Source organism: Homo sapiens, chromosome 3, assembly GCF_000001405.40.
Source record: "Homo sapiens chromosome 3, GRCh38.p14 Primary Assembly".
NCBI classification, from domain to species: domain Eukaryota; kingdom Metazoa; phylum Chordata; class Mammalia; order Primates; family Hominidae; genus Homo; species Homo sapiens.
The window spans coordinates 143,389,270-143,403,292 of NC_000003.12; the positions used below are offsets into that span (position 1 = coordinate 143,389,270).

Consider the following 14,023-nt stretch of genomic DNA (forward strand, 5'->3'; position numbering starts at 1 on the left):
AAAGAAACTGGAGGCATGGAGGTCATTTAGTAGTCTACTGTAATGGTCCAACCAAGAGTTCATTAGGGTCTAACTAAGTTAGCAGTGGTGGAAAAGAAGAGAGAGATTTCAGAGATATATACATGAAGCGGTGGTGAGGGCCATTGTGCAGGACAGGCTCACTGTGGGAAGAAGTGGAAAGTATTGAGGTGTTTGAGTTTCTACTCCAGACACTTGAATGGTTTGCCCTACCATTAGCCATATTAAAGAAGGAGAAGCATGTGCCTGGGAATTTCCCCCAAGGGACATCCTGTTAAAAGATAAAACCGAAACTCAGGGTCAGTAAGATCAGATCTGAGCACTTCTATTGTGAGAGAAGCAAAGTCAGCTCTCTACATTGTTATCAACTCAAGAAAAATAGCAACCCCCTCAGAGTTTTGTCTAGTTGCTTGTCTGAAGTGGAGATTCTGACCAAAAGGTAAAGTCTAAGAATAAGGAAGGGATAATGAGTTCTTCAAGGTCAAGATCAATGGACTGGGAATATTCATGGAAGCTGGAGAAGGGTGTGGCATGTCAAGTATGTAAAGACAGTTTGGACGTCTTATTTAAGAAGGGTTAGAGGGAGAAGGAAGAAAGGGGGGTTCTATAATTTGGGGACATGAAGTATGTAATATGATTGTAAGCCCCTCCATGGGAGATGCAGATGCAGAGCTGGGATGCTGCTGAGAGCAGTGGTGCCCCTCTGGGTTTCCACCACTGCATGGACACACTGTCATTGACAGGTACTCATATGCTTTGCTAGGTCCATTTTTCTACCCCTGGGACTTGTCTCATTACCAAATTGAAAACAGCTGGGTCAAGGATTCATGCAACATTCCTGTCCTGGTATTCCAAGGTTGCCCATATGCCATTTACTTTTCTCCTAGACATTATGGAGGTGGGATGGATTTCATGAAACTCTATTGGGCTGATCAGACTAAAGAAGGGTCTGGTCTATCTTTAACTCTTTGCTGACACAGTTGACTGAAATTACTAGGTAACAGCTAAGAAGAGGCACAGAGCATGAACATTAGGAGTTAGACATTCTGAACGGCTGTTCCTATCACTTACTTGTGTGACTATGGGCAGGAAACTGTACCTCGGTTTCCTTTTCCACAAAACGGAGATAGGAATGGTAAATATGTCATAGGCTGTTGTGGGATAATACATGTAAGGGGTGAATTGTTCCAAGATGGCCAAATAAGAACAGCTCCAGTCTACAGCTCCCAGCATGAGCAACGCAGAAGACAAGTGATTTCTGCGTTTCCAACTGAGGTACCAGGTTCATCTCACTGGGGCTTGTCGGACAGGGGGTGCAGGACAGTGGGTGCAGCACACCGAGTGTGAGCCGAAGCAGGGCGAGGCGTCGCCTCACCCGGGAAGTGCAAGGGGTCAGAGAATTCCATTTCCTAGTCAAGGGAAGCTGTGACAGACAGCACCTGGAAAATTGGGTCACTCCCACCCTAATACCACACTTTTCCAATGGTCTTAGCAAATGGCACACCAGGAGATTATATCCTGGGCCTGGCTCAGAGGGTCCCACACCCACAGAGCCTCACTCATTGCTAGCACAGCAGGCTGAGATTGAACTGCAAGGCAGCAGCAAGGCTGGGGGAGGGGTGCCCACCATTGCTGAGGCTTGAGTAGGTAAACAAAGCGGCTGGGAAGCTTGAACTAGGTGGAGCCCACCGCAGCTCAAGGAGGCCTGCCTGCCTCTGTAGACTCCACCTCCGGGGGCAGGGCATAGCCAAACAAAAGGCAGCAGAATCCTCTGCAGACTTAAATGTCCCTGTCTGACAGCTTTGAAGAGAGTAGTGGTTCTCCCAACATGGAGTTTGAGATCTGAGAACAGACAGATATGCCTCCTCAAGTGGGTCCCTGACCCCTGAGTAGCCTAACTGGGAGGCACCCTCCAGTAGGGGCAGACAGACACCTCACATGGCTGGGTACCCCTCTGAGATGAAGCTTCCAGAGGAACGATCAGGCAGCAACATTTGCTGTTCAGCAATATTTGCTGTTCTGCAGCCTCCGCTGCTGATACCCAGGCAAACAGAGTCTGCAGTGGACCTCCAGCAAACTCCAACAGACCTGCAGCTGAGGGTCCTGACTGTTAGAAGGAAAACTAAAAAACAAAAAGGACATCCACACCAAAACCCCATCTGTACGTCACCATCATCAAACACCAAAGGTAGACAAAACCACAAAGATGGGGAAAAAACAGAGCAGAAATTCTGAAAATTCTAAAAATCAGAGCGCCTCTCCCCCTCCAAAGGAACACAGCTCCTTGCCAGCAATGGAACAAAGCTGGATGGAAAATGACTTTGACGAGTTGAGAGAAGAAGGCTTCAAACGATCAAACTTCTCCGAGCTAAAGGAGGAAGTTTGACCCCCTGGCAAAGAAGCTAAAAACTTTGAAAAAAGATTAGACGAATGGCTAACTAGAATAACCAGTGTAGAGAAGTCCTTAAATGACCTGATGGAGCTGAAAACCATGGCACGAGAACTATGGGACGAATGCACAAGCTTCAGTAGCCGATTTGATCAACTGGAAGAAAAGGTATCAGTGATTGAAGATCAGATGAATGAAATGAAGCAAGAAGAGAAGTTTAGAGAAAAAAGAGTAAAAAGAAATGAACAAAGCCTCCAAGAAATATGGGACTGTGTGAAAAGACCAAATCTACATCTGATTGGTGTACCTGAAAGTGATGGGGAGAATGGAATCAAGTTGGAAAACACTCTGCAGGATATTATCCAGGAGAACTTCCCCAATCTAGCAAGGCAGGCCAATATTCAAATTCAGGAAACACAGAGAACGCCACAAACATACTCCTTGAGAAGAGCAACTCCAAGACACATAATTGTCATATTCACCAAAGTTGAAATGAAGGAAGAAATGTTAAGGGCAGCCAGAGAGAAAGGTCGGGTTACCCACAAAGGGAAGCCCATCAGACTAACAGCTGATGTTTCAGCAGAAACTCTACAAGCCAGAAGACAGTGGGGCCAATATTCAACATTCTTAAAGAAAAGAATTTTCAACCCAGAATTTCATATCCAGCCAAACTAAGCTTCATAAGTGAAGGAGAAATAAAATCGTTTACAGACAAGCAAAGACTGAGAGATTTTGTCACTGCCAGGCTTGCCCTACAAGAGCTCCTGAAGGAAGCACTAAACATGGAAAGGAACAACTGGTACCAGCCACTGCAAAAACATGCCAAATTGTAAAGACCATCGAGGCTAGGAAGAAACTGCATCAACTAACAAGCAAAATAACCAGCTAACATCATAATGACAGGATCAAATTCACACATAACAACATTAACCTTAAATGTAAATGGGCTAAATGCTCCAATTTAAAGACATAGACTGGCAAATTGGATAAAGAGTCAAGACCCATCAGTGTGCTGTATTCAGGAGACCCATCTCACGTGCAGAGACACGCACAGGCTCAAAATAAAGGGATGGAGGAAGATCTACCAAGCAAATGGAAAACAAAAAAGGCAGGGGTTGCAATCCTAGTCTCTGATAAAACAGACTTTAAACCAACAAAGATCAAAAGAGACAAAGAAGGCCATTACATAATGGTAAAGGGATCAATTCAACAACAAGAGCTAACTATCCTAAATATGCACCCAATACAGGAACACCCAGATTCATAAAGCAAGTCCTTGAGACCTACAAAGAGACTTAGACTCCCACACAATAATAATGGGAGACTTTAACACCCCACTGTCAATATTAGACAGATAAATGAGACAGAAAGTTAACAAGGATATCCAGGAATTGAACTCAGCTCTGCACCAAGCAGACCTAATAGACATCTACAGAACTCTCCACCTCAAAATCAACAGAATATACATTCTTCTCTGCACCACACCACACCTATTCCAAAATTGACCACATAGTTGGAAGTAAAGCACTCCTCAGCAAATGTAAAAGAACAGAAATTATAACAAACTGTCTATCAGTTTGACCACAGTGCAATCAAACTAGAACTCAGGATTAAGAAACTCACTCAAAACCACTCAACTACATGCAAACTGAACAGCCTGCTCCTGAATGACTACTGGGTACGTAAGGAAATGAAGGCAGAAATAAAGATGTTCTTTGAAACCAATGAGAACAAAGACACAACATACCAGAATCTCTGGGACACATTCAAAACAGTGTGTAGAGGGAAACTTATAGCACTAAATGCCTACAAGAAAAAGGAGGAAAGATCTAAAACTGACACCCTAACATCACAATTAAAAGAACTAGAGAAGCAAGAGCAAACACATTCAAAAGCTAGCAGAAGGCAAGAAATAACTAAGATCAGAGCAGAAATGAAGGAAATAGAGACATAAAAAACCCTTCAAAAAATCAATGAATACAGGAGCTGGTTTTTTGAAAAGATCAACAAAATTGATAGACCGCTAGCAAGACTAATAAAGAAGAAAAGAGAGAAGAATCAAATAGACGCAATAAAAAATGATAAAGAGGATATCACCACCGATCCCACAGAAATACAAACTACCATCAGAGAATACTATAAACATCTCTATGCAAATAAACTAGAAAATCTAGAAGAAATGGATAAATTCCTTGACACATACACCCTCCCAAGACTAAACCAGGAAGAAGTTGAATCTCTGAATAGACCAATATGAGGCTCTGAAATTGAGGCAATAATTAACAGCTTACCAACCAAAAAAAGTCCAGGACCAGATGGATTCACAGCCGAATTCTACCAGAGGTACAAGGAGGAGCTGGTACCATTCCTTCTGAAACTATTCCAATCAATAGAAAAAGAGGGAATCCCCCCTAACTCATTTTATGAGGCCAGCATCATCCTGATACCAAAACCTGGCAGAGACACAACAAAAAAAAGAGAATTTTAGACCAATATCCCTGATGAACATCAATGCAAAAATCCTCAATAAAATACTGGCAAACTGAATCCAGCGGCACATCAAAAAGCTTATCCACCATGATCAAGTGGGCTTCATCCCTGGGATGCAAGGCTGGTTCAACATATGCAAATCAATAAATGTAATCCAGCATATAAACAGAACCAAAGACAAAAACCATATGATTATCCCAATAGAAGCAGAAAAGGCCTTTGACAAAATTCAACAACTCTTCATGCTAAAAACTCTCAATAAATTAGGTATTGATGGGATGTATCTCAAAATAATAAGAGCTATCTATGACAAACCCACAGTCAGTATCATACTGAATGGGCAAAAACTGGAAGCATTCCCTTTGAAAACTGCTACAAGACAGGGATGCCCTCTCTCACCACTCTTATTCAACACAGGTTGGAAGTTCTGGCCAGGGCAATCAGACAGGAGAAGGAAATAAAGGGTATTCAATTAGGAAAAGAGGAAGTCAAATTGTCCCTGTTTGCAGATGACATGATGGTATGTCTACAAAACCCCATCGTCTCAGCCCCAAATCTCCTTAAGCTGATAGGCAACTTCAGCAAAGTCTCAGGATACAAAATCAATGTGCAAAAATCATAAGCATTCCTATACACCAATAACAGACAGAGAGCTAAATCATGAGTGAAATCCCATTCACAATTGCTTCAAAGAGAATAAAATACCTAGGAATCCAACTTACAAGGGATGTGAAGGACCTCTTCAAGGAGAGCTACAAACCACTGCTCAGTGAAATAAAAGAGGATACAAACAAATGGGAGAACATTCCATGCTCATGGATAGGAAGAATCAATACTATGAAAATGGCCATACTGCCCAAGGTAATTTATAGATTCAATGCCATCCCCATCAAGCTACCAATGACTTTCTTCACAGAATTGGAAAAAACTACTTTAAAGTTCATATGGAACCAAAAAAGAGCCCGCATTGCCAAGTCAATCCTAAGCCAAAAGAACAAAGCTGGAGGCATCATGCTACATGACTTCAAACTATACTATAAGGCTACAGTAACCAAAACAGCATGGTACTGGTACCAAAACAGAGATATAGACCAATGGAACAGAACAGAGCCCTCAGAAATAAACCACACATCTATAGCCATCTGATCTTGGACAAACCTGACAAAAACAAGGAATGGGGAAAGGATTCCCTATTTAATAAATGGTGCTGGGAAAACTGGCTAGCCATATGTAGAAAACTGAAACTGGATCCCTTCCTTACACCTTATACAAAAATTAATTCAAGATGGATTAAGGACTTAAATGTTAGACCTAAAACCATAAAAACCCTAGAAGAAAACCTAGGCAATACCATTCAGAACACAGGCATGGGCAAGGACTTCATGTCTAAAACACCAAAAGCAATGGCAACAAAAGCCAAAATAGACAAATGGGATCTAATTAAATTAAAGAGCTTCTGCACAGCAAACGAAATTACCATCAGAGTGAACAGGCAACCTACAGAATGGGAGAAAATTTTTGCAATCTAGTCATCTGACGAAGGGCTAATATCCAGAATCTACAAAGAACTCAAACAAATTTACAAGAAAAAAACAAACAACCCCATCAAAAAGTGGGCAAAGGATATGAACAGACACTTCTCAAAAGAACACATTTATGCAGCCAACAGACATATGAAAAAATGCTCATCATCACTGGCCATCAGAGAAATGCAAATCAAAACCACAATGAGATACCATCTCACACCAGTTAGAATGGCGATCATTAAAAAGTCAGGAAACAACAAGTGCTGGAGAGGATGTGGAAAAATAGGAACACTTTTACACTGTTGGTGGGACTGTAAGCTAGTTCAACCGTTGTGGAAGTCAGTGTGGCGATTCCTCAGGGATCTAGAACTAGAAATACCATTTGACCCAGCAATCCCATTACTGGGTATATACCCAAAGGATTATAAATCATGCTACTATAAAGACACATGCACACGTATGTTTATTGCAGCACTATTCACAATAGGAAAGACTTGGAACCAACCCAAATGTTCAATAATGATAGACTGGATTAAGAAAATGTGGCACATATACACCATGGAATACTATGCAGCCATAAAAAATGATGAGTTCCTGTCCTTTGTAGGGACATGGATGAAGCTGGAAACCATTCTCAGCAAACTATCGCAAGGATAAAAAACCAAACACCGCATGTTCTCACTCATAGGTGGGAATTGAACCATGAGAACACATGGACACAGGAAGCGGAACATCACACACAGCCTGTTGTGGGTTGGGGGGCTGGGGAAGGGATAGCATTAGGAGATATACCTAATGTAAATGATGAGTTAATGGGTGCAGCACACCAACGTGGCACATGTATACATATGTAACAAACCTGCACGTTGTGTACATGTACCCTAGACCTTAAAGTATAATAATAAAAAAAATTCATGTAAGGGGCTTGGCACAGGATCTAGCCCCTAGAAAATGCTTAGAAGAAGTAGCTGTTGTTCTTGTTGTGGTAGTGGTATTAATAGATATTGTTGTCTTTGCTACTCAGGCCTCCTGAATAAAAGATTTAACTGTGAAGATTTCCAGCAAAAGAGTTATGTTTTACCTTACCTCACCTGTGATTTTTCTTGTGATTTCTGATTCCAGTGGAGGCTTGTTTATGATGGAGGTTTTGGACTTAAGAGTGGGGATGTTCTGGCTGCAGAGATAAAATGTGTGGCTGGTGTTTACATGTATCTGACAATTTAGATATACATTTTGGAGTGTATAAGTATGCTGAAAACATTATGTTCTTTGAAAAATAAACAAGAATAAGCAAGTACCTGTTCCAGACACAAATGCAGATCTACATCCTGTACTTTATGTTTGGCACAACTTCCCTTGAGTTTGAAGTACTTAGCTCTGCCAAGATGTAAGCTAATTTCAGGCTACGGATAAGAGTCCATTAGAAACTAGATTGAAAATGAATACACAGACTGATTTCTTTTGACCTAAGCTGCAAGCATACTGACATCCTTTGGTAGGAAGACAGATGTAATAGCTTATCAAGGCATCTGGCCTTTCTTCCCTAAGGCTTCACTCTGGGTGCCCTGCCTGGGCAATTAGGGATTTATCAGAGTCAAATGCACATCCCCAGAAAAGCTATCCTTTCAAGTGGATTCGCTTTTTAAAATTCTAGTGTTACTGGGTGGGGAGTCTTCTCAATGTCAGACTGAACAAGTTACATGGGAAAAAAGAGGGACATTTTATCACGGAATATGAAGTAGTTGTAGGAGCTTTATATGTTGGTATGAAACCATAAATGGTTGAAAAACAAATCCCAGACTCTCAGGGGTCTGAGCGAGAAGTGGAAAACCTAAAACCTGAAAACCATTGTGGTTATTTCACAGTTAAATAAACAGAATGATATGATGCCAGAAGTGCATCTCCTTCCCTCACTTTTCAGTGTCCCAAGCTACGAGGAACTCTAGGCAGAATTGTGGCCTAATCCCAGCTTGCCATTAAAGACCATGCTTGGTGTGCACCATGGGTCAGCAGTGAGATCTCAGGGTGAGTCTCCACATTGCTGCTCTTTGATGTGCTCAGGCTTCAGTGGGAAACCTGGAAGGGAAGGAGCCTTAATGGGAATGCATTCTCTTGATGCAAGGAGCATATTCTCCCCATGAACATCATTTACAAAATCACAAGTATACTTTGACAATAAGGGGGGAATGCATAGAACATATATTTAATATATTTAAAGAACTGTAAAACTCCTCTATGCAATAATCCAGAAGAACATTTAACCCAGCCAAAGCAAATATTTTTGTGGAGTGATATCTTGGAAAGAATCCTTAGAAGGCAACAACAAAGTTTTGCAAAATTGATGGATAGGTACCTACAACACAATTCATTCAAAACATGAAATTCTAATGGTTGATTCTGAACTTCCCCCCCGCCACCACCTTACCACCACATTGGCTTTGACTATTCATAGGGAAAGATGGTTTCTAAGATGTTTTGAGAAGGCTTCCTCCCAAGACATGAATTTCCCTAACTGCCAATGCCTAGACTTCCTTAGCACAGGATAAAGCTCTTCATTCCTTGTTGAGGATTAGGCCTTACAAGGCAAGGACTTGGGAGAGGTAATATTTGAGCTTGTATTCACACAAGATACAAGTGAATCAGACTTATTCCTGAGAGCAGAAAGAGATGGGAACAAAAGCCTAAGGCCAACAAAGGTATCTCCACCATGAAGCGTGGAAGGCAGGCAGCGGGTGAAAAGGGAGTTGGAGACACAAAATTATCATAGTAACAGCCAATATGTAGAATCTACACTAGGTAATATTCATGTATTATATAAAACATATGGAGTTTGGGAAGAGGATCTGAAGTTATTGTAACACCATGTATTTTAGTAATTAAAAGCAAAAAGAGATTTATAACCCTTTTCTTTATATTAACCATTAAAAAGCACTTGCAATTGGTTACTTTAATAATTTTGCACCAGTAAATCTGTTGCTTCAGGCTATCTATCACCAACATCCAGCAGACAGTACAGAATTATTAACCATGTGCACTGAAAACATGGAAAAATAGCCAAAGAAGATTGTTTCACCAACACTAATATATCACTAAAATTAAAATTAAAACAGCTTTGGGATATATAACAGTTGCCAAAACTATTGTTTAAGCCCACAATTGGAAGCAGATTTGATCTACAATCTCTACAAATAACTGAAACCTTATTTTCATTTGGAGCAGTTAACACTCTGTAAGACCATATTATATTATAGACCATATTAAGACCAGATGCTATTAATAATAAATTCACAGATTTGTTGTATACACACACACACATACACACACATACATATATATGTACATGCACATATATATCTATATTTCACTTCTATTTTTACTTTTTAAGTGAAAAAACTTCTTCCCTAGTCTCAGAAGAGAATCAAGTCAAAAATACGTCTTAATAATGCATTATCTTGTTTTTTGCTAAAAATGAGTAAATATCTTAATTTTAAAAGGAAAGTTGACAGAAAGACAATGGGTAAGCTAGGAAGCTGCTACTGCATGACACATAAAAAGAGAAGAAAATAATTTTAGTTTCTTGCTGAGACGGATTAAAGTAAATCACTAGAAAAATAATGTTTTTCTCTGGTCAAATCTGTTATTCACCATTGGGCTGAAGTGCATGCTTGCGTGCATGACTATGTTAAAAAGAAATTAAATATTTAAAATTTTAAAAGGGGAAGAATTCATGGTTAACACTAGAATTATATTGAAAACTGCACCTTGATTTTGGAATCAGTGGTTTAAAATCAGGAAAGTGAAAGAAAATTGGCAACAATACTATTGGGAAGAAGTTGTCTTAGAGCAGAAGAGAAAGGCAAAGAGGAAAAGAGTAGCAAGAATATGTTGTAAAACAGGTTCTGAAATTATCATGAAGACTACGGAAAGTGCACAGCATGGAAACAGAATTAGCATCAATTTGGCGGAAAATAACATAATGAAAGTTAATTGGATGCTTGTGGCTAATGTAACACTCAGGCTGTTTTGGCCTATCATTCTAGGAGATCATGATGACAGCTTAAACAACTGTTGTATATGAACTGATATTTTTCCTGACACCACACTATCGACATCCTAAAAGCAGGGCAGGTAGACTATTTCATTCATTCTCTCCTTCACTCACTAACTCACCCACTCATTCATTCATGAAATACCAGTTGAGAATATATCAAGACCATTAGTATATGCTAGATATTGTGGTAGACATGAAAAATTTGTTACACTCATATATATCTTTAAAGTACATACGGTGAGTTTCATCAAACCTAGATGTAGTTCATGATAAGGCATACTATTACTTTATGTACATCTAAGAAGAAAAACGCTGTTAATTATATTTGTGACACCACTGATTATGAGACACATCTTGACTTCAAAAATGCTAAAGTGTGAAAAAACGTGCAGCTGGAATAAATGGATACCCACACAAAATAATAAAAATCCAGGGTTCAATAATAATGTCAAGCCATTATACATACTGGCCTCTGGATATTTCATGTATGGCTAGTATGTTATTTGCTGTCATTGGGGAAAAATTCAAAAGAGTATTTTGAAATCTTTCAAACAAAATATTCTTTTTATGCTTACAAATTAAAAGATAATTCATGCTCTACTACTCAGCCGTAAAAAAGAAAGGAATTAATGGCATCCGCAGGAACCTGGATGGAACTGGAAACTATTATTTTAAGAGAAGTAACTCAGGAATGGAAAACCAAACGTCGTATGTTCTCACTCATAAGTGGGAACTAAGCTATGAGGACAAAAAAGCATATGAATGATACATTGAACATTGGGGAGTCAGGGCAAAGGCTGGCAGGTGGGTGAGGGATAAAGACTCCAAATTGGGTCCAGTGTATACTACTCGGGTGATAGGTGCACCAAAATCTCACAAATCACCACAAAAGAACTTACTCATGTAAGCAAATACCACCTGTTTCCCAAAAACCTATGGAAATAAACAATTAAAAAAACTTTTGACTGAATTTATGCAAAAAAAAAAAAAAAAAAGGTAATTCATTCCCTTTTAAAATTCTGTGTCAAGCAACTTTTAGTCACTGGGTGGAATCAGAGCCAAGACTAGAGTTAGGCAAGGGAGACATCCTGTCTCTCAGGATCGTGCAAGTGCTGAGCATTTGTATGAGCCCGAGAGTGAGTGCTTCCTTAGATTTTGCATCCTAGGTACCTTGTTTGCCTCCCCCAGTCCTGATCGTGGGTGAAGTAACAACTTTGCAATTGTTTTTAATATTTTACCCTTGGATCTTCTGGACTGCTGACTTTTTCATTTTTCCCTCTACATCTACTCTACCCCCTTTTCTCTACATTATCCTGGGCTCTGGAATGCAGACCAATGCAGATGGCATCAATTGGGTTATCGTGCTCTTTGGTCTTGAATAGGTTTAGCCAATAGGAAGTACTGGCAGGATACTGGAAGGAGAGAGGAGAGTGAGACAGGGTATCTATTTCTTCCTTCCTGCCAGGTCACCAGGCTTGTCTGTGTTCTTCTATCAAAGCCTCAGCTCCTTAATCCCTCTCTATCTACCCCACCCAGCTACCCTCTCTGGGTTCTGGTTAATATTCCCATTTGGGTATAGGGTGGTAACTGCTCTCCATTGATTCCAGTCCTGGGGTACTGCACTATTCCTTGTTTTCTAAAACCAGCTCTTATAATAGTTCCTTGCTAAGTTCCTTTAATTTACTCAGCTTGAATGTGCCATTGTTTTTCCTACCTGGCATCAGACTAGTGTAGAAAGCTATTCACATTAGTAAGCATGCAGCAGTAAAAAGGTTTCACTTAAACTGGAAACTAAGTTTTCAGGGACTTGAAATTTCTTAAGAAATCCATAAATATAATAAATCTTAAACATAGCTTTGTTTCCAGCCTTAATGTTAGAATTGTGTCTTTAAATGTTTCTCTAAGGTACCTGAATATTCATGTACAACTCGACATAGACTGTTCCTATTCCTAGGCTGGATCAGGTTTTCACAAGAAATTCACATACAGGTTGTGGCATCTGACAATGGCAGATGTCAGGAGTGCAGATCATATCATAAGATATAGTAGGACCTACACAGGAGGAATGAAAGTGCTCCTGAACAGAATCCACTTATGATGCCTTAAATCAAAATATGCTTTATTAAATGCTCCAACTTAAACCTATGAATTCCATACAGATGTTAAGAGTTCTCAGAAGTCTTTCTAGAAGCTGAAATTCTACCCTAGTGAGGTACATCTCACCATCTCAGATGGAGAAATCTAGATTCTACTGGCCTTCCTGATGATTACCTTGGTGAAACAGTTCATTTTCATGGTGAAAACACCAGTCTCAGAACTGTAAGTGGAAGGAAGCTCAGATGATCGCACCCTACCATGTCATTTTAAAGATAAGAACACTGAGACCCACAAAGATTAGCTAATTTGAGAGAAGTTACACTGGTAATAAGAAACAGAAGAATTAAACAGTTTTTTTAAAAAAATTTAATTTGGCATGCTGCCTACCTCAACGAATAAAAAGGAAGAAATTATAAAAATTTAAAAATCCTTTGGCATGAATAGACTTTTATGAGAAGATTTAAGTGTAGAAATTATTGGAATATACTTATTGCTCGAGATGTCCATATATAACAATGTAAAGTGAACTTGAAATCTGCAAATATTATTGCAGTGTGGTAGAATGTGGCATTTCTCAAACTCTAGCAATTTACTTAGCACCTTTGTGTTTTTTTTTTTTTTTTTTTGTAGAACTGAAAGATACTTTCTTTAATGTTTTTAACTTTTCTGTCAGTTTTTGCTTCATGTATCCTGGGACCTTGTTGTTGAGTGCATCTATGTTTATAATGGTTATATATTCCAAATGAATTAACCCTTTCATTATTATAAAGTGTTCCTTTTCATCTCTCCATATGTCATAAGTCTATTTGTCTGATATTAGTATACTACTCCAGATCTCTTGTGGTTATTGTTTGCATGGTGTATCTTTTCCCATCCCCTTTCCCTTCAGGATATTTGTATCTTTGAATCTAGGTGAAATTAGTTTTTTTTTTTTTCAAATTCAGTCTGACAGTGTCTGCCTTTTGATTACATTGTTTAGTTCATTCACATTTAATGTTATTGATATAGTTGGATTTACTTCTTCCATTTTGCTATTTGTATCCTATGTTTATTTGTTGATTTTAAAAAATCATATTTTTTGTTATTTTCTTAGTGGTTGCTCTAGGTGTTACAATATACATCTCAACTTCTTAGACTCTGCTTTGGATTTATAATAACTCAATTCCAGTAAGATGTAGAACATTTGCTCCACTCTTACTTACTGAACCAGAAATAAGATTTAACAACATCCTTTGTGCTGTCATATATATTACATCTATATATGTTATAAACACAATTCGGTGTTGCTACTTTATATCAATCTTGCATCTTTTTAAAAAATTAAGAGTGAAAAAAGTATATTTACAAAGTTTTTCTATTAATCTTATTTACAACTTCTGTTACTCTTTATTTCTTCCTGTGGATTTGAGTTACTGTCTCATGCCACTTCCTTATTCCACTATAGCTTCCTTT

The 14,023-nt window shown here is 39.1% G+C and overlaps 1 protein-coding gene across 4 annotated transcripts in view, besides 1 other annotated feature; it reads right to left on the reverse strand.

Annotated features, from left to right (window-relative positions):
• The window catches only part of SLC9A9 (solute carrier family 9 member A9), a 583,247-nt gene that overhangs the window by 124,048 nt on the left and 445,176 nt on the right, over window positions 1-14,023 (reverse strand). The gene's annotated exons all lie outside the window — the stretch shown is intronic.
• Window positions 185-324: an enhancer, noted in NCBI's record as "active region_20654". NCBI's record gives its function as "activates an Ori minimal core promoter by ATAC-STARR-seq in GM12878 lymphoblastoid cells {active_cell/tissue: GM12878}" and the evidence as "EXISTENCE:reporter gene assay evidence [ECO:0000049][PMID:35858748]".